Below are 19,256 nucleotides of genomic sequence, written 5' to 3'. Positions count from 1 at the left end.
GACCTTAGAGATTACCTAGTCCAAAGTGCTCATTTAATAAATAAAGTAAAGCCAGAGAATGGCCAAGGTCATATATTTAGATGCAGTGTTGGGACTGGAAGCCTAGTGTTGGGACCTTTAATCTACACTATGGGCAAGTCACTGTGCTAAGCATCGAGATATCCTGGTAAGCACCCTGCCAGGCTGTTGTAGCCCCCTAAAATAATATTGTAGAGAACATTTCTCATTTACATGAGACCTTCTTTACTGTTCTTTCTTTTTTTTTTTTTTTTTTTTTTGAGACAGAGTCTTACTCTGTCGCCCAGGCTGGAGTGAAGTGGCATGATCTGGGCTCACTGCAACCTCCACCTCCCGGGTTCAAGCATTTCTCCTGCCTCAGGCTCCTGAGTAGCTGGGATTACAGTTGTGGGCCACCACGCCCAGCTAATTTTTGTATTTTTAGTAGAGACGAGGTTTCGCCATGTTGGCCAGGCTGGTCTCTGGACTCCTGACCTCAGGTGATCCACGTGCCTGGGCCTTCTAAAGTGCTAGGATTACAGGCATGAGCCACCACACTTGGCCCTGCTTTTTTTAAAAAAAATTTGGATACGTAACAAATACCATATAGAGAAAAATAGTGAGAACGTATAGATGAATAAAATGCATTTATTAAATTTGAATGTTGGCACACACAAGAATTGATAATTCAACTAAAAGGTTAAGGTGCTGCTTTGACCTTCAGTGTCTCTAATATTTAAGACAGTATTGCTTGGTGGAAAGAACACACATTCTTTTTTTGGACTACCTGGAATCAAATCCTGACTCTACTCATTATTAGCATGGGGGTTTATTTATGCTTTATAATTTAATTAAAATTCTTACCTTGGTTACTTCATTGCTAAGATATAGGTAATAAAATTATATACCTCATAGAGTTTGAGAATGTTTAAACCAGAGTATCAATAAATATTAATCTTTATTCATCTTATTAACTTTTTGGCCTTTTGGATACATAAAATTGTGGAATTACTCCAAGGAGGAACATGAATCAATGGAGAACAATGTTGTTTACAGCTTATCTATGCTGTAAGGTGTTTTTTAGAGTCCCATTAAGATTTTAAGGATTCATACAGAACTGGTGATATGATATGAATTTTAAACCTTTTCGCACTGGAAACTGATTATACACAGTAGAAATTATGTAATCTGAATTGGTACAACTTCCTCTGCATGTAAGTAAAAGGAGCCATATACCAAAATTTATTTCCCACTGACTTAAACAAAATAAGATTATATTGAATTAATAAATTGGGATTTTCATTCTTTCTTTCATATTTATACTCTTTCATATCAGGGTTTCTTGCACAAGTTTTAGATTTTTAATTCTGCTGGAAGCCGTATAGGCAGATTTAGTCAACTATATCTCTTCATCTGATAGAGAGTTTCCCTTCCTTCCTTCCTTCCTTCCCTCCCTCCCTCCTTCCTTCCCCCTCCCTCTCTCCCTCCCTCCCTCTTTCTTTCTTTTCTTTCTTTCTTTCTTTCTTTCTTTCTTTCTTTCTTTCTTTCTTTCTTTCTTTCTTTCTTTCTTTCTTTTTCTTTCTTTCTTTCTTCCTTCCTTCCTTCCTTCCTTCCTTCCTTCCTTTCTTTCTTTCTTTCTTCTTTCTTTCTTTCTTTCTTTCCTTCTTTCTCTTTCTCCTTCCTTCCTTCCTCTCTCTCTCTTTCTTTCTTTCTTCTCTTTTCTTTCTTTTTGAGACATAGTCTTGCTCTGTCACTGTGTTGCCCAACCTGGAGTGCAGTGGCACGATCTTGGCTCACTGCAACCTCTGCCTCCTGGGTTCACGTGATTCTTGTGCTTCAGCTACCCAAGTAGCTGGAATTACATGTGTGTGCCATCATGCTCAGCTTATTTTTGTGTTTCTAGTAGAGACAGGGTTTCATTATGTTGGTCAGGCTGGTCTCAAACTCCTGGCCTCAAGTGCCTCTCCTGCCTTGGCCTCCCAAAGTGCTAGGATTACAGGCGTGAACCGCCGTGCCTGGCCTGATAGAGAATTTTCTAAAGAGACAAACTATGATAAGAAGATGCATATTATCCACAACTAAGCAATATTATTTTATTTATTTAAAATACACTTTATATGATACAACATATATGCTTATTGTAAAAATTGCTCACCCAATAAAAGAACAAATGAAGTAAATTGGAAGTTTTGTTTGTTCTCCTCCTCCCACAAATCCTGACATTTTGATATGCCTTCTTCTAGACCTTCTTCTAACATATACACATAAATAATACGCTATTAAACCATATAATGTGTTATATTATCAACATTGCTCCAGGCTGGGCGCAGTGGCTCACGCCTGTAATCCCAGCACTTTGGGAGGCCAAGGTGGGCAGATCACCTGAGGTTGGGAGTTTGAGACCAGCCTGACCAACACGATGAAAACCCGTCTCTACTAAAAATACAAAAATTAGTGAGGCGTGGTGGCTCACTTCTGTAGTCCCAGCTCCTTGGGAAGTTGAGGCAACAGAATCGCTTGAAACTGGGAGGTGGAGGTTGCAGTGAGCCGAGATTACGCCACTGCACTCCAGCCTGGGTGACAGAGCAAGACTCCATCTCAATAACCCCCCCAAAAACAAACAAACAAAAAAACATTGCTCCATTTAAACTTAACACATTGTAGACATCTGACTATAAGTGTAAATGCTGACCTAGCTCATTAATCACCCATTTTGCCTATTTAGAATGTTTAGAATAATAAAGGGCATAAGGAGTATAGATTGTTTCATGGTGATGTTAAGGTTCCTTTCTTTTGATAATATTTTATGAGTTGATTCTAACTATTCAAATGACTACCTGGAATCATAGCTGTTTAAATACGCCATTATAGCCGGGCACGGTGGCTCACGCCTGTAATCCCACCACTTTGGAAGGCCGAGGTGGGCAGATCATGAGGTCAAGAGATCGAGATCATCCTGGTCAGCATGGTGAAACCCCGTCTCAACTAAAAATACAAAAATTAGCTGGGTGTGGTGGTGTGCACCTGTAGTCCCAGCTAATTGGGAGGCTGGGGCAGGAGAATCGCTTGAACCCAGGAGGCGGAAGTTGCAGTGAGCCAAGATCATGACTTTGCACTCCATGCTCCAGCCTGGCAGCAGAGCGAGACTCCGTCTCATAAACAAACAAACAAACAAACAAAAATATGCCATTATAATAAATTTATCCTAGGGATATTATACTTTTTAAAATAAGAAGTAGCTATGGGCATATACATCATATTACTTAAAAAATGACAAAGGGGTAATTGGATTACAGATTACCTGACTTGGTAATAAATTAAAAACACTAATTTCCATCCTCCCCAATTTCTGAATATTTACTGAGCTGCTAACCTATATTTACACTTCTATGTTTCTCCATGCCTTTTTATTTCTCCTGGACCTCCTTGGGTGTGTGTTGGAGGAGGAAAAGTGGAATGCCTCTGCATTCTGCATGTTAAGTAATGTGTTTTATTTTTTACAAAATACTTCCACACTCTGCTCCCCCTTAATTTCCACTCATTTAGCATCCCAATATTTTTCCTGACTGTCTTAATCTTCATTCCTGAGAATTTAGTTGAGTCCAATGTCCCTCCAAATGGATACCAGTTCTATTCCTCTTCAGCTAAAGGAATAAGGAGAAAAATGTACTAGACAGCATAGCTAATTGAAGTAAGTACATGATAGGCAATTTTTTTTTTTTTTTTTTTGTGGAGACAGAGTTTCACTATGTTACCCAGGCTGGTCTCGAACTTCTGAGCTCAAGTGATCTGCCCACCTTAGCTTCCCAAAGTGCTGGGATTACAGGCATGAGCCACTGCACCTGTATATGATGGACTCTTAAATAATAGGGTTGAACTAGATGATAGTGTAGGTTCCTTTGAGCCTGAGATGGTCTTATTTCCACTTTATGTAATCTTCTTTCCATTGGTGCTTTTCTACACATTTATTTAGTGGCATAATGGACTATAGTGGTATGATATTATACAAATCTCAAAAAGGTCTTGTGGTAACTGAGATGATGCCTAGCATGGTGGTCTCTTTCCTGCACTCCCCTTTAAATATTGGTCTTCTTGCTTATAATCCTGAATAGGACATTTCATGTTCTGTTTTCCTATTTGCATTTTGAGAAGATATTGTAAAAGTACATTTGGACTAGTCTTTTCTGGCTCATTGATAATTTACAATATCTATCTCTACCTTTAGCCTTTTTATTCTTATGTGAAAGATATATAATGTGTACATTAAGTAGGGCAAGGGGAGAAATGTACCTTGAAGCAGTTGAGTTCTAGGTCAAGGTCTGTAGGGGAAAACACGTTTTTCTGTCAATGTAATGAGTCAGTCATCTTGGGTATGCTCAGGAAAGGAAGCTAATAAGTTACACAATGAACTGTGATTACTAGTTAATCGGTTTAGCATATTTATTCCTTAATTTAATTCAACTCAAGGGGCACCTCATTCTCAAGCATTCTATGGCTTTCTAGTGCTCCAAAGAACACGATTCCTGAATTCATCTTATCAATTTACAATTTATCATTGTTTGAATTTCATTAAATGCTTAATTTTCCTGGGAGGAATGGAAACATCCCAAATTGCTGTCATACAGCAAACATCTTTTCTGTGCATTACATTTCCAACGTACTCCACAAGAATTGATAATTATTTTTTTCCTTTTGCCTTTAGGGAAGAAAATGTGTTTGTAAGACACCAAGAACCACCACATTTGACCTTGTAAAAACATAAGGCCAGAATTTAGAAATATAGGACTGGGCCCCAGGTTCTCAGGGCATTTGAGAGCAAGGTCCACTCTGGGCTCCAGTTGCACAGTTTCACTAGGGTTTGTTCTGGCATATGCGTTCCTTCTGCTAGCCACTCACAAGACTACTGAGTTGCACACCGTCTCTGCCTGCCCCTCACTCTCCTCTGTGCACAGCTGTCTCCCATATATTCTTCAAAGCTCTTTTCAGTTGTGACTGGTGAGGGGGTAGTTTTTTACTTTATATTCTTTTTTTTTTTTCTTTTTTTTTGAGACGGAGTCTCACTCTGTTGCCCAGGCTGGAGTACAGTGGGCTCACTGCAACCCCCACCTCCCGGGTTCAAGTGATTCTCTTGCCTCAGCTTCCCGAGTAGCTGGGATTACAGGCACGTGCCACCACGCCTGGCTAATTTTTGTATTTTTAGTAGAGACGAGTTTTCACCATGTTGGCCAGGCTGGTCTCGAACTCCTGACCTCAGGTGATCCACCCGCCTCGGCCTTCCAAAGTGCTGGGATTAAAGGTGTGAGCCCCCACACCCAGCCTACTTTATATTCTTTACATTTTTAAGTTTTTTTTTTTTTTCAGCAAGAATGCGTTACTTTTACAGTAAAAATGAAAATTAAAAGAATGGAAAAAAGTAAAACAAACAAACAAACAAAAAACCCTCCAACCCTCTGCTTGGTTGTCTCCTGCTCTGTGATGTTTTTTCCAACCAGTTTCCAAATCCTCTTTCCCCTTCATCCATGTTACTCACGCTCAGCTCCTTCTTCCGTGAACTCCTCTGGACTCTCATCATTCATTTTAAGCTGAGGCCTTATTCCATACAGTGCAGTCATTATATGTTCACTTATCTATTGTTCTCATTAGATTACAAGCTCTGCAAGAGCAGGATGTTTAAAAATTTCCAACATCTATCTTAGAACCTGGCACATCATAGATGCTCAGCAAATTCCCTTGAATAATGAATGAAAAAGAACATGACCCTCCTCTGAAGAGAAAGGGAGATGACAGTGCCATCAAAAAGCCATTGCCAGTCATTTCTGGCCCCTCTGGCTCTTGGGAACAGTCACAGAACACACCCATCCCAGCAGACCTCAGCCTGGCTTCCTACAATTGCCTCCTTGGCATTGCCCTGTAAGGTTGTGCTTAGGAAGGACCGGCGAGCCCATTCTCATTTCCTCTCCTTTACCTGAGTGCAGTACTGCTTTTCAAGCCTCTGGCTCTCCTTTTGTTTCTGGCAGGTCAGCGACACCACAGACACAATGGTGCTGTTGTAGTTCTCTTGGGAAGATGTCCAGGACATCAAGGCAGTGGTTGAGCTTAAAACGTGGACACTCACGTGCTGCGGCTTCTCGGTCAGTTCTTCAATCCACTCTCCTGAAGGACCTGCACATTTCAAATTGGAACACAGGGGAGGCTGCACGTTACACTGATTGAGATAAAAGATTCTGGTTTAAAAAATCATGTTTTCTTTTTGCCCTTACAATGAGATTCAAAGAAAGATTGGCGGTCGGACTGGCAACTCTTCAGGTCCTCTGCCCAGCTGCAACCCTCTACTCCTTGACCTCACCTTGATCTAAACAGCAGCCTCGGCAATAACAGCAGAAACAAAAGTGCCACTTCAATCATCGTGTGCATGTGAGAGTATTCTGGTAAATTCTTCACCTGAGAAAACTTACTTCTCTTTTAACAAAGAGTGAGCGTGGCAATGTGGCATTTCATCAGGGCTTATTATTCCTTTGCTACTAGGATCTTTGATCTCTAGGAATAATTACTTTGAGATTCAAATCAGCCTCGACTACTACCCTGTGCAAACATTTGAATTTGGCAACAGTGAGAACGAAAAGGCAGGCTGTGATTATATTAGAGAAGAAACACACAACAGGCTGGCTCAATTAAAGAAGCTGGCTAAAACCTGGGTGATAATTTGAGGAACACAACAGGATCCTTACCATAAAATGTCTCCACAGAAGTGCCCATCCTTAGCTTTGTTCTCTTATGTTCCTAAAGTGGTTCTTAACACAGTGCCTGACACCTAGTAAGGACTCAAGACATGTTAAGGTGATTATTATCTACAGAAATTCCCTGCTGAAATGCAAATGTGAAACTTCCATTTATTTGCTTAGGATGCATTCTCAGCTCCTTAATTTGATGCTGTATTCCTAAGCTGAGATCCAGGAGAGGAAAAGGAGCAAGTCGCTCTACTGGGGAGGACAGACTAAGGTTTGGTGTAAATGGTGCAAGGGAAATGATAATACAAAATGATAGTAATTATAGTAAAGAGATATGGAACCCATTACATATTTATAGGTTTGTTCCTGGCAGGTCAGTGACACCACAGACACAAGGATGCTACCGTAGTTCTCTTGGGAAGATGTCTAGGACATCACAGTAGTGGTTGAGCTTAAAACACGGATGCTCACATATAAACTGCTTTTCAGCATGTAAACTGTTTTTTAGCATATAACCTTCTTTAAGTTTTTATGTGTTACGTATTTCATTCCTTATTTATTTATTTATTTATTTATTTATTTATTTATTTATTTTGAGATGGAGTCTCACTCTGTCACCCAGGCTGGAGTGCAGCCTTATCTAGGCTCACTGCAACCTCCACCTCCTGAGTTCAAGCGATTCTCCTGCCTCAGCCTCCCGAGTAGCTGGGATTACAGGTGCCCACCACTATGCCTGGCTAATATTCGTACTTTTAGTAGAGAGAAGATTTCACCATGTTGGCCAGGCTAGTCTTGAACTCCTGACCTCAGGTGATCCGCCCGCCTTGGCCTCCCTAAGTGCTGGGGTTATAGGTGTGAGCCACCGTGCCTGGCCCCTTTAACTTTTATAACAAGCCAATGAAATAAGTACTTTTATTAAATCTCACTTTTCAGATGTGAAAACTGAGGTAGAGATAGAGTAAGTAGAGCTAGGATTCACACACAGGAAGTCTGATTCCAAAATCCATGCTCTCAACCCTGCATGAGACTTCCTGGAGCACTATGAAATAGTAAAAATTTGGAGATACGATAATTGCACTAAGACTCAGTTTGGTCATTATTAGTGGTGCAACTTTGGACAAATGAGTTAACCTCTCTGAATCTCAGTCATTGCATCTGTGAAATGGATAAATCATGGAATTTTAGAATTGAAGAGAACTTTAGAGACCCACTGCTTTATTTTGCTGATATGGTTTGGCTCTGTGTCCCCACTCAAATATCATCTCGAATTGTAATCCCCACTTGTCGAGGGAGGGACCTGATGGGAGGTAATTGGATCATGGAGGTGGTTTCCCCTATGCTGTTCTCAAGACAATGAGCGAGTTCTCATGAGATCTAATGGTTTAAAAGTGGCAGTTTCCCCTGCTCTCTCTCTCTGTCCTGCCACCCTCTGAATAAGGTGCTTGCTTCCCCTTCGTCTTCTGCCATGATTGTAAGTTTCCTGAGACCTCCCTGGCCATGCAGAACTGTGAGTCGATTAAACCTCTTTCCTTTGTAAATTACTCAGTCTCAAGTAGTTCTTTATAGTAGTGTAAATATGGACTAACACATTTGCTGATGAGGAAACTGAGGCCCAGAGATATAAACAAGCTGCCTGAAGTCATAGAGCTAGTAAGTGCTTGTGACCTAACCCAGACCTCCTGTCTCTTGAGTCATTGCTTTTGAAAATCTGATTAATTTACCTCATAAGGTTGTTGTTGGGATCAAATGAGATAATATGTGTTAGAGAACTACATAAACGTGAAGTGTTACTACTGTTCTGAAGAGTACTAGTGTAGTGGGGGCACAGAGGGTGGAGGTTGGAGTAAGCAAAACAAATTCAATTATTTAATAGTTTTACCTTATGACTGACTTGATAATCAACCCAAGGACATGGGTCATGGCAGGCTAAATGAAAATGGGTTTTGTTATCAAATATTCCTGAGTTATAATCTTAATTTTGACACTTGGGGAAGTCACTGAAATTTCTGCGATTCAGTATGTATTTTAATGTGAAAAATGGGGGTAATAAAAGTGTTTTCTTCATAAGGCTATTGGCAGTCTAGTGCAAATTCCTACCTGAATTCTCATCTCTGGGAAGGCATTCAAAGCTACATAAATGTAAATTATAATGCAACGACATAAACATATAATAAATTGTAATGTAACAGCTCAACACCAGAATATGTGAAACAGTTTGGTCAGGAAAAACAGGCTGCAAATATACTTTTGCTGGTGTGTGACTACATTATGCTGAGCAAACGTAAGCCACCCTAATTTTTGCTCATTTACCCAGTTAGGTGTAAGTATTTATGTCTGCGGTATCCATTTTTTAAACCAAAGAAGTATACATGGTACATCTGAATAGCTCATTACCACAGAACAGAATCTCCTTAAAAAGTCATTCTTTTAGCAACAGAGAAAAAACAAAACTTCTAGGAGCCTATATTTTTCTAGATAAATATTAAGATGCATCTCTTTAAAGTAATTGCATTTTTGAGCAATTCCGACATATTCTCAATGGCACTAGTCGCTTTAGATACTCTAAGAATAGAGCAGAGTGCATGAAAGATATAAGTGGTTCCATAAATATTTCTTGAATGTACAAAAGAATGAATAAATATGCAAACAGTATAACTCCAGCCTGGGATTTTACAACTTGACATGAGAAGCAAGATGTACATAAAATAAATCTAGAAAAATACCACACACTAATAAGTTATGTGTTTTGTGCTGTCTACTATGAGACAGAATAGGAATTCAGAGAAGAGAAAAGTCAGAAAGACCAGAATTGTTGTGGAGTTTTCGTGGAGGCTGTTCACATGTGCGGTGGATCTGTACTGGTGCAGAAAGAAACTATTTGGTAAGTGAGGCATTTTTAGTCTTATGGGAAGAATGAAATACTCGACTTTGTCCTCTTTCTTAAGTAATCACATGTCCAAGGTCTCTCACACTTGAAAGACACACAAGGCAGTTGGGAATACCCTTTCTACGCATCTGATAAATCTTTAAGGCCTTTCTTTTGCCAGAGGTGACATTTTTGGTTTTTCTTTTAAGTAAAAATATTATATGGGATATTTTCAACATTTTTAAGCTGCTACATAAGCTGAGCTCCTCTTCTGCTCTCATCCGTCCTTCAACGAAAGGTGGTATTTGCCTTTCCAGATGGCAATAGGATATGTGGTGGTTATCCTTTTCTGAAAGCAATTTTTATTCTTTGCCTTCTGGTTTTTCTTTCTACTGATCGGAGGCACATATAACTCCTGATAGGGTAGGTTACTGATTTTTGACCTCTATACTTCCAGTAAACATAGTCAGTTTAGCTAAACACGTTATAGAGGCAGGCACTGTTTGTGCAACCTTCAGAGGCTAGCTTTTGCTGTCCTGTTACCCTTATGGAATGGTAGAGGCCACCCTAGGACTTGACACTGGGACTTTCAGGTTGCTCTAGCTATGACTTTTCCCACCAGTTTTATTGAGACCATCGGGGTGTACCCACACTTGAATCTTTGTCTTTCTTTTGAGCCTCACAAGCTCAATACTCTAATGAGATTTTTCACAGTCCTATAATATCATTTCGTTATGGGCTCAAACAAATGTCGTATTTCCCAAACTGTATGTCCACATCCTTGGAGGCTTTGTTATGGCTAATGTGAAAGGTCAGTTTAATAAATGTTCAATTATCACAATAGTAAAAAAAAAATCCTCAAGTTAAACCCCTGGATAGGATTGCTACTATTAAACAAGCATTCATTTCCTCTGCTATCCAAAGCTTGTGGATCTCAGCCTCTCCTGATCTTGAAGACTTCTCATCATCCCTAAGGTTTGTGAATAATTGACATCTGAGCATCATTAATCCCACCAGTTCCATTGTTCTAGCTCCCCAGTAAGTGTAAAATGATCTCTTTGTTACTTACTGATATAAAAGCTGAGTGATTTTGCTGACTGACTTTTTCGAGTTTCACAAGATCCTGAGGAACTAAAGGTTGTCACAGATAACTTATATTTCCCAGGTTCCTTCAGTTCTGCAACAAATTCATGTGCTTCTTCATCCACCATCAAATATTCAGTAAAGTTCTCTAAATCATATATAAAAAAGAGAAGATACATGAATAGACACCTGGAAAGGCCCTGGGTATAGACAAGTCGATTAATGAAAAAAAATTAGGTGTTTTAAATGTTCCCTCCTTTTGTCAAGTTCAATTACACCTCTAAACTAAAGGTACCATTAAAGAATAATAAATAAGAGTTCAGTATTTTTACAGTCTTCCAAATAACAAAACTCAAATACGGCATTCAAATCAATAAAACTAGGGATGGGTCTACACTGTGTATCTTTATGTACTCCTACCCAACAAAATTATGTGTACAAAATAGAAGTAGATAATCAGGAAAAGTTAACAATTGTTGGCTTTCTCATCACGAGGTAAGGGCTAAAAAATAACCAGGATCAAATATCTTGTAAGTTCTTTGTGGTAGTATTAACCATCCAGAAGTGCTTTAACATTTATTTAAAATACATCTAATTTTTAAGGTATATTTTCTGATGTACCCCTGAACTTAAAGTAAAATTAAAAAAATAATAATCATGGTAATATTTTTCCTTTATCCATTTGCTTTCAGATCTTCTTAAAGAAAGAATTATTTCACATTGCTTCACAGTCCATCCATCCTCTGCTGCTTATTACTTCATTTGAAGTCATTATCATCAGTTGGTGACTACAACAGCCTTCAAAAGAAGACACTGAGTCAGATAAATGCATAATAGAACCTTCATGAGAAGAGGCAGTAAAAAATTTTTGTAATGACAAGATCCTATTTGCCGTAGGAACATATTTAGGAACAGAAAAATAAATGATAGATTAAGGAAACTTTAAAAAAAATAGGAAATTCCAGGAAAATGACTTTTGACTCAAATAATTAAGAATTTTCATTTTATGTAATATTTGGGTATGGTTGAATGCTGTATCATCTTGTATAGAAGAATCCACAGATTTTGTATCTCATGCTATTAAGTAAAATAGGAGTAAACAATATGTCAGTATATGAGACTACATGGGCCTTAAACTCTCACCCTAAAAATAAGGCTATCACTGTAACTTCAAATTTTTACAAATTATAACCTCTGCCACTCAAACTACTAGATCAGAAAATGGAAAATGAAGTATATTACTGTAAAAACTAAACAAACAACAAATAACCATAAAAATCTACCAAACAACAATTGAGATAGGTATCATGACCCAAACTTGTTGAAAGTCATGGCTCTACTTTCCTAAGTTAGTGGCTAAAATATAAAGAATGAACCTCAGATGCTGAGTTAGTCAATGCAAAATATAATATAGTAGCTATATGGAAATGTCAGCAGCTGTGTATTTTCCATTTTACTATCAGCTTCTCTTTGGAAAACTGTGGTGCTTTTTCTAGAGGGGCGCACCCTAAAGGGAACAAGAGCGGCTGGTTAGCAGGACACATGCCTCATATTCTTGAGGAAGTAGTAATGTTTTCATAAGTATTACTTTGCTGCCATGTTTAAAAATTTGCATATGAGAAAACAGAAAATTTCTCTAGGTTATGTTGTAACATTCTGGGATAGTTAGATCTTTAATTCAAAATATTTCCAAATATGATGTTTTCCTCATTGTTCTGAGACATGAGAAATAGTGGGCAGTCAAATGTATACAGTTGGCAGTACTTACAACTTGTGAATCACCCAAACCTTCTGATTCTTATCCAGTCTATTCATTTGGGTTTTCTGCTCTCAGTCTGCATTGGATACTCAATTAAATTCTCCCCTTTCATTACCATTATTCTTTGACTAATAACTGTCTATGATCAGTCTTTCTAAACTCAAATTTAAAAACATTTCAATTCCCCTTCCTTTGTATCAGTTCTTATTTCCTCTGATTTCCTACTGCTTTACCTTCTCGTTCAATATGGATATGGAACCCATCAAAAGCAGTGGGTGGTTTGGGTGGTAACCAGGTCAATATCATTTGCACAGGGAAAAAGGAGAAAGAGCCTGATGTTGACTTCTCTGTCTCACTGAGTGTACTGTTATTTTCGTATTCCATGGGAAGTACGCTGACAAATTCATCTTCACTTTCAGGAGCTGCAGATGCACTGTCCCACCAATATGGCTGAGACGTAGTTTCATAGTCACTGCTATTAAAATCAGGCCAACCGGAAGAAATGTTGCCCGAGGGAATTTCAGGGGTTTCTTCTGTAAAATGGAAGAGTTTTTCTTTTCCTATTGTATCTTGTGATCTCATGAAGGATTCTTCTGGGAAATTGCCACTCTGTTCTTCCCAGTTGTTTTTGTTCAAGTTTACGATACGAACGGAAATATTTTGAGGTGGATAAGGGGCTGTAAGAGAGAGAATTTTCATTTTCAAGTATTTTTTAATTCAATTAGAGTGAATACTTAATCTCTTAATGAGTCAGGTACACAAGCAGATTTTTAAAAGTGGAATTTAATTTTACTTCTGATACACAGACAAATTTACATCAAGATAAGCTGTGTTTTTTTCCATATACATACTTCTAACATTTTGTGGATGATGTATACCTATCAACATACCACTAGTCACACTTCAAATATATTAACTTACAATATTATGCTTGTTGAAGTGGTAATTCAACCACTTCTAAAAGCAGAGTATATAAATATTTTTCAGTTTATCGTAATTCCACTTACAAAAAAATGTATCTCTGTTCCTGGATTTTTATTACAAAAAAACCAAAACAAAACAAGTATAGTGTACTTATAGCTATGAAGATGAAAATACTCCATGTGACATAGTTGCACCTACAAGAGTTGCATACATGTGTTGCCTTTAGAGATGTTAACACACATGTTAGAAATATAGCTTCACTCCTCACCTCCCTAAAATGAAACATATAAACTCAAAATGAGTTTACAAATTATGGAAGCACACTTTACTTACAGGGAGAAAATTATGAAGACGCACTGCGTAGTCTCTGCCTGTAACAGTTTCTACTTGTTCTTCAAATAGCAGTTCCATTATCACCTCTTCCATGAACTTTTTTGTTAATTTTTATTTTGAGACAGTATCTCTCTCTGTTGCCCAGGCTAGAGTGCAATGACGTGGTCTCGGCTCACTGCAACCTCCGCCTCCTGGGTTCAAGCAGTTCTCCTGCCTCAGTCTCCCGAGTAGCTGGGATTACAGGCACCAGCCACCATGCCCAGCTAATATTTGTATTCTTAGTAGAGATGGGGTTTCACCACGTTGGCTAGGCTGGTCTCAAACTCCTGACCTCAGGTGATCCACCTGCCTCGGCCTCCCAAAGTGCTGGGATTACAGGCATGAGCCACCGTGCTAGGCCCCATGAGCTTCTAATAAAAATTTATCTCTCCTTCCTTTGTGTTGTTAAATAACTTTGTACCTCTGTTATAATATTTATCTCATTCTGCCTTGTGTTAGTGCCATTCGTGTATTATGAGTACCAATTTTTGAGCACAAGGATCCTGTCTCATCAGTCTTTGTCTTCATGTCTCAGTACTGAGAACAACTTCCAGGTAGAAGGTGCTCAATTAATGTTTTTCTACTTACATTGAATAATGAAAAACATAAATAGAATCTTAACTGTTGACATTAGGTGAATTAGTGATTTAGCTGAAATAGTTTCCTGGTCTTAGACTAATGAATAAGAATCATGACATCTTAGAATTTCAAATTGTCAAGACCTTAGAAGTAATCTATCATAATCCCTTCCTGATGCTCATCAGAATGGCCTCTCCAGCATTCCTATTGAGTATTCAGGCATACTAGGCACATACGATTTTGCTTATATTGGTGATGGGTACTTAGTAGATATATGCTTATTTTATCCATTCATTATTCCATCCATCCATCCATCCATCCATCCATCCATCCATCCACCCATCCATCTATCCATCCATCCATGCAACTATCCATCCATCCTACAATAGTGCTTCATATTAGTGGTGCTACTAAAATCAAGCACCGCAAGTTTTAGATACATTTGAATTTCAATATTTTCCTTTAATAATCTGATAATCTGTACTAGAATGTCTTCACTCTGTTTTCTGCCATAGGGTCACTTGTCAGCAATAACTGATGTCTACTAGATCTGGGTAAGTCAGTTAATTATAACCTTTGGTAATAGTATAGTAGCTTTTTATTCAAAGATTAGAAATCTATGATTACATTGACATATTTTAGATTTTTCTTATTGAATATTTTGCCCAGTTCTTTTTATATTGATAGAAAATCTGTTTTAGGTTATTAAACATATATATTTTCTTTCTTTGCTCTGGATCAGAATATTTCTTAGGATAAAAAATAAATGTACAGCAAAATATAACTGAATTATTTTTTCACTGTATTTGATTCTTCAGGAGACTTACCAGTTCTGTGCTGTTTGGGTTCGTGACTGACACCACTGTACTCAACAAGGGTACTTTTATTAAAAGTTGCCTCAGATACCAGCTGAAAGGTGATATTACTATAACACATTCCTGGCAGCCAGTGATTAAATACTGTTTTTCCCTTAAAGAAATCTGTGAAGAGAAAATCAATTACATGAAAAATATGGTCTTCTAAACATCACACACTTCTGGAAAGTTTGAAACAATTATGGCTAAACATTCACAAAATAATATTTCCTTCAACTACTGTTATGGGCAGTAATAAAGAGTTAGTAGAAGGCTAGAGATGAAACGTTGAATGTCTAGACTCAATCCTGAAGGGCTTTTTCTGACAAAATTCCTAAGCAGATCAAACACAATTGGAGTTAACCTTTTTGTGATAGGAACTTTTGGGGTATGTATTAATTGAAGGAGATAATATAAAGAAATTGTAGAGGTTAAGTTTACACTGGCCATTTACTTTAAGATAAAAATCCAAGGTATTTTGCCACCTTATGACCTAAAAAAAGAGCAATTTTCCAAGAAAAGTTTTCATTTAGAAAAACTAGCCTAATTTAAAACTGGTTTATTTGCCAGTTTGCAGACAGAACCTGCCCAAAAAAAGAAATAATAAAAGTTTGGATTCCACTTAGAAAACTTTAAAGAGAATAACAATAAACTAAAAATCCAATCCAACTCAAAAGAAATGAGAGAACAAAACTAAAAGTACCACTTATTGAATTGAAATCTAAAAATAGTTTGAAAAAGTAATTGACTTAAGAATGGGATTATATTAATTATTTTAAAATTTATGATTGTTAACAAAAGTTTCAGTAATTGCTTTTTAATCATTCATAAATATATTTGCATGTGATCTATAAACAAATAACTTTCCATTTATTAATTTGCAGATTATGTTTTCATTGTAAATAAAGAACATAATACTTTGTGGAATTTGTGTTTCTTTGATTTTTTCAAAGTTTAAAAAAACCAAATTCACTGCATATATTTCATTCATTCATTCATTCATTCATTTTGAGATGGGGCCTTGCTCTGTTGCCCAGGCTGGAGTGCAGTCATGTGATTTAGGCTCACTGCAACCTCTGCCTCCTGGGTTCAAGGGATTCTCCTGCCTCAGCCTCCTGAGTATCTGGGACTACAGGCGCCCGCCACCACGCCCGGCTAGATTTTTTGTATGTTTTAGTAGAGACGGTGTTTCACCATGTTAGCCAGGCTGGTCTCAAACTCCTGAACGCAAGTGATCTGCCCACCTCGGCCTCCCAAAGTGCTGGGATTACAGGCGTGAGCCACCACTCCCAGCCCCACTGCATATATTTTAAATAGTGTCTCAGAAAAACTAAATCCATTGAAGAAATGAGTGTGTAAAAGCAGCAAGTGAAAATGACATTTTCCTGGATGTCATGCTCTGTGTGCTTCAATACTTTCTCTTTCCACCAATACATGTTTCCAGTTACAGTCAGCCAACTCTGATATCATTACCTACCTCCCACCCCCACCCGATGTGCCCTGAGCGTATTCAAGTTCCTTCACTAGGATTCACTCCCAAATGAAACTGAATGCCCTCTCTTCCCTCTCCCTCTAGCCCCTTCCACCCAGAGAAGTTGATTTTGTTCCTTTGAGTAATTTGAAATATTACTTCTCCTGGGCTCTTTTCTCTCCCTTCCCCTCAAGGTTCCCATCAAGCCAGTGAAAAAGCGAAACTAATTTTTGTATGTTAATGTATGCATTTAGCTGGTCATACAGCATTGCATTTGAGGATGTTGGATCATCTCCAAGTGAAACTTTGCAAAAGGCACCACTCTGACTTCCCAGTCCCAGAAATGCCCATCTATCATACCCAGAAAGAAACGGTTACTTGTGCTTCTAAACTTAAGTCTGAATTTATTTCCTGCACCAGGCATGCTGCCTTAGGGAAGAGTAACATGTAAGTGACAATAATGAGAGTATTTCTCATGCTGAACACATGACACACGACTCTCAAGTAATGAACCAGATGTTCTAGGCTTCCTCATAACACGATTTTCATAAATCAATAATTATTTTTAATGGCTCATTTATAGGTCAAATAGTGAATTATAAAACCTCTTTGCAGTAAGAGAGAACATCATTTGGGAAAAGCTTTGTAAAAAGTGAGGGTCATCATTGATTCAGCTTTCCTTTTGCTGCTTACCTTTATATAGCATTGTCCGGAAGTCTTTACCTTCCCAGTAGCTAATGTTCACTCTTGTGAAAACGTTATATTTTTCTGGATAATGTATTTCAAACAGGACTCCTGTTTCAGGAGAAGGTTTATAGTCATATATGGAAACACTGGTTACAGGTAGAGGTTCTACAGAAGTGAAGTAAATGGAGAAAGGGAAAAGAAAGAGGAGAGAGAAAGGCCGATATCAATACTTGAATTAAGCAAGGATTACACCTACCAGAAATTCACGCATAATTTTCACTGTCTGTGGGCACTAAACTCCTCAGTAACCATGAATTGAATGTTCTTAGCAGTAATTAATAAAGTACATTTTATATGGTGCTTTCTGCTTTTTGAAGAACTTTTACATTTATTTTTCCTTTTGCAACAGTCCTGAGATCTAGGAAGAGCAAATAAAATATCTCCATCCCACCTATAAATATAATGATGACTCACAGACTAAATTACTTGTCCAAGGTAATTTAACAAGTACATGACAGTCTGTATCTCCAGATTCCTAGTTTATTTTTCTTTTTCTCATGCAAAGGAAATTTGATATCAGTAACAGACCAGTAACAGAAAATAAATTTTGGCTCAGACCAATGATAGTTATATGATCATTTATTTCTTCCTGTGAACATAGCACTTATTTTTCCATATGAAGTATAAAATTTTAAACTGTCCAATGTTGTAAAACATATGTTTTGTGGTGTTTATCAAACCACTCTTTCTGTAGAAATTTAAAGAAAACATTTCTATTTTGCTTGAGTAGTTCATTCACTGGAAAACTTTAAAAATACTCATTTTTTAAAATCCATGATCGATATATGCCTGCCTCTCCTCCCCCTCCCACTCTCCTGCAAAATTCTTGTAAATAATGCATTTTGCACCTTTCTAAAGAAGCTATTAAACAGATTTTACCTGTATGAATTTTATTAAGAAGATATGTTAAATAATTTGGTTTGGGGTCACCTGTAATTCCAGCATTGTGGAAGGTCAAGGCGGGTGGATCACCTGAGGTCGGGAGTTTGAGACCAGCCTGACCAACATGGAGAAACCCTGTCTCTACTAAAAATAGAAAATTAGCCAGGTGTGGTGACACACGCCTGTAATCCCAGCTGCTGGGGAGGCTGAGGCAGGAGAATCACTTGAACCTGGGAGGCAGAGGTTGCCAAGAGCAGAGATCCCGCCATTGCACCCCAGCCTGGGCAACAAGAGTGAAATCTCAAAAAAAAAAAAAAAAAAAAAACAAAAAAAGAAAAGAAAAATGAACATAAGTAAAATTTAAAAGCTGTTGGAACCCCAAAAGACGTAACTGTGATCTGAGTCACATATAGTTATAACTTCTGTTCTCAAATTACAGATTAACTCACTTCATTTTTCTTGTTCTGTGCAGTGACTAGAGGGAATTAAATGATGTCAGGGACAAAAATCTCCTGCCTTCTTAATTAATGACCCATGTTGTAGATTAACTTCCCCCCTTTCTTGTCCTGCTTTGCTTAGGCTGGATGACAGAAAACCTATAAATAACTATTACACTCTGTGTAAAAAAATGTTAAATGTACCCTTCCCCAAAAGAAACACTGCTTATAATCAATGAAATTTCTGTAACCAGGTGCCATCCTTATATGAATAATTTTTTTGTAATCCTGATAAAATCTTCTCTGTTTCTGCCTATAGAAATGAGATCCCAATTTCACTACTTCAGAGCACTGACTGAATTCTTTTGGAGTTGGTGTTTCCAGGTGGTCCAGCCTCACACTTTGTGCTTGATAAAACTCTCTTTAAATGAGATTCTGACCCTTTTGACGATTTTAGGTTGACAGAAAAAAAAATTTTTGATTCACACTTTTAGAATTGAGAGAATTCTTGGACATCATCTATAGGCTGACCTAAAGAAATGTCCTTAGTTTAAACT

At 37.9% G+C, this 19,256-nt stretch overlaps 1 protein-coding gene across 5 annotated transcripts in view; it reads right to left on the bottom strand.

Annotated features, from left to right (window-relative positions):
* PTPRO (protein tyrosine phosphatase receptor type O) overlaps positions 1 to 19,256 on the bottom strand; it is a 275,824-nt gene that overhangs the window by 83,602 nt on the left and 172,966 nt on the right. For all 5 annotated transcript variants that reach the window (XR_931316.4, XR_007063106.1, NM_030667.3 and 2 more), the window contains exons 3-7: positions 17,327 to 17,485; positions 15,136 to 15,288; positions 12,667 to 13,110; positions 10,661 to 10,822; positions 5,963 to 6,159 (exon numbers count right to left, since the gene is read on the bottom strand). Coding sequence is in view for 3 of the 5 variants with exons in the window: in NM_030667.3 (NP_109592.1) it covers positions 5,963 to 6,159; positions 10,661 to 10,822; positions 12,667 to 13,110; positions 15,136 to 15,288; positions 17,327 to 17,485 (1,115 nt within the window). In the remaining 2 variants the exon portion in view is untranslated. The remainder of the gene's footprint in view (positions 1 to 5,962; positions 6,160 to 10,660; positions 10,823 to 12,666; positions 13,111 to 15,135; positions 15,289 to 17,326; positions 17,486 to 19,256) is intronic.

The sequence above is a fragment of the Homo sapiens genome, chromosome 12 (assembly GCF_000001405.40).
Source record: "Homo sapiens chromosome 12, GRCh38.p14 Primary Assembly".
In the NCBI taxonomy this organism is placed as follows: domain Eukaryota; kingdom Metazoa; phylum Chordata; class Mammalia; order Primates; family Hominidae; genus Homo; species Homo sapiens.
This window is presented reverse-complemented; position numbering and strand designations above follow the sequence as displayed.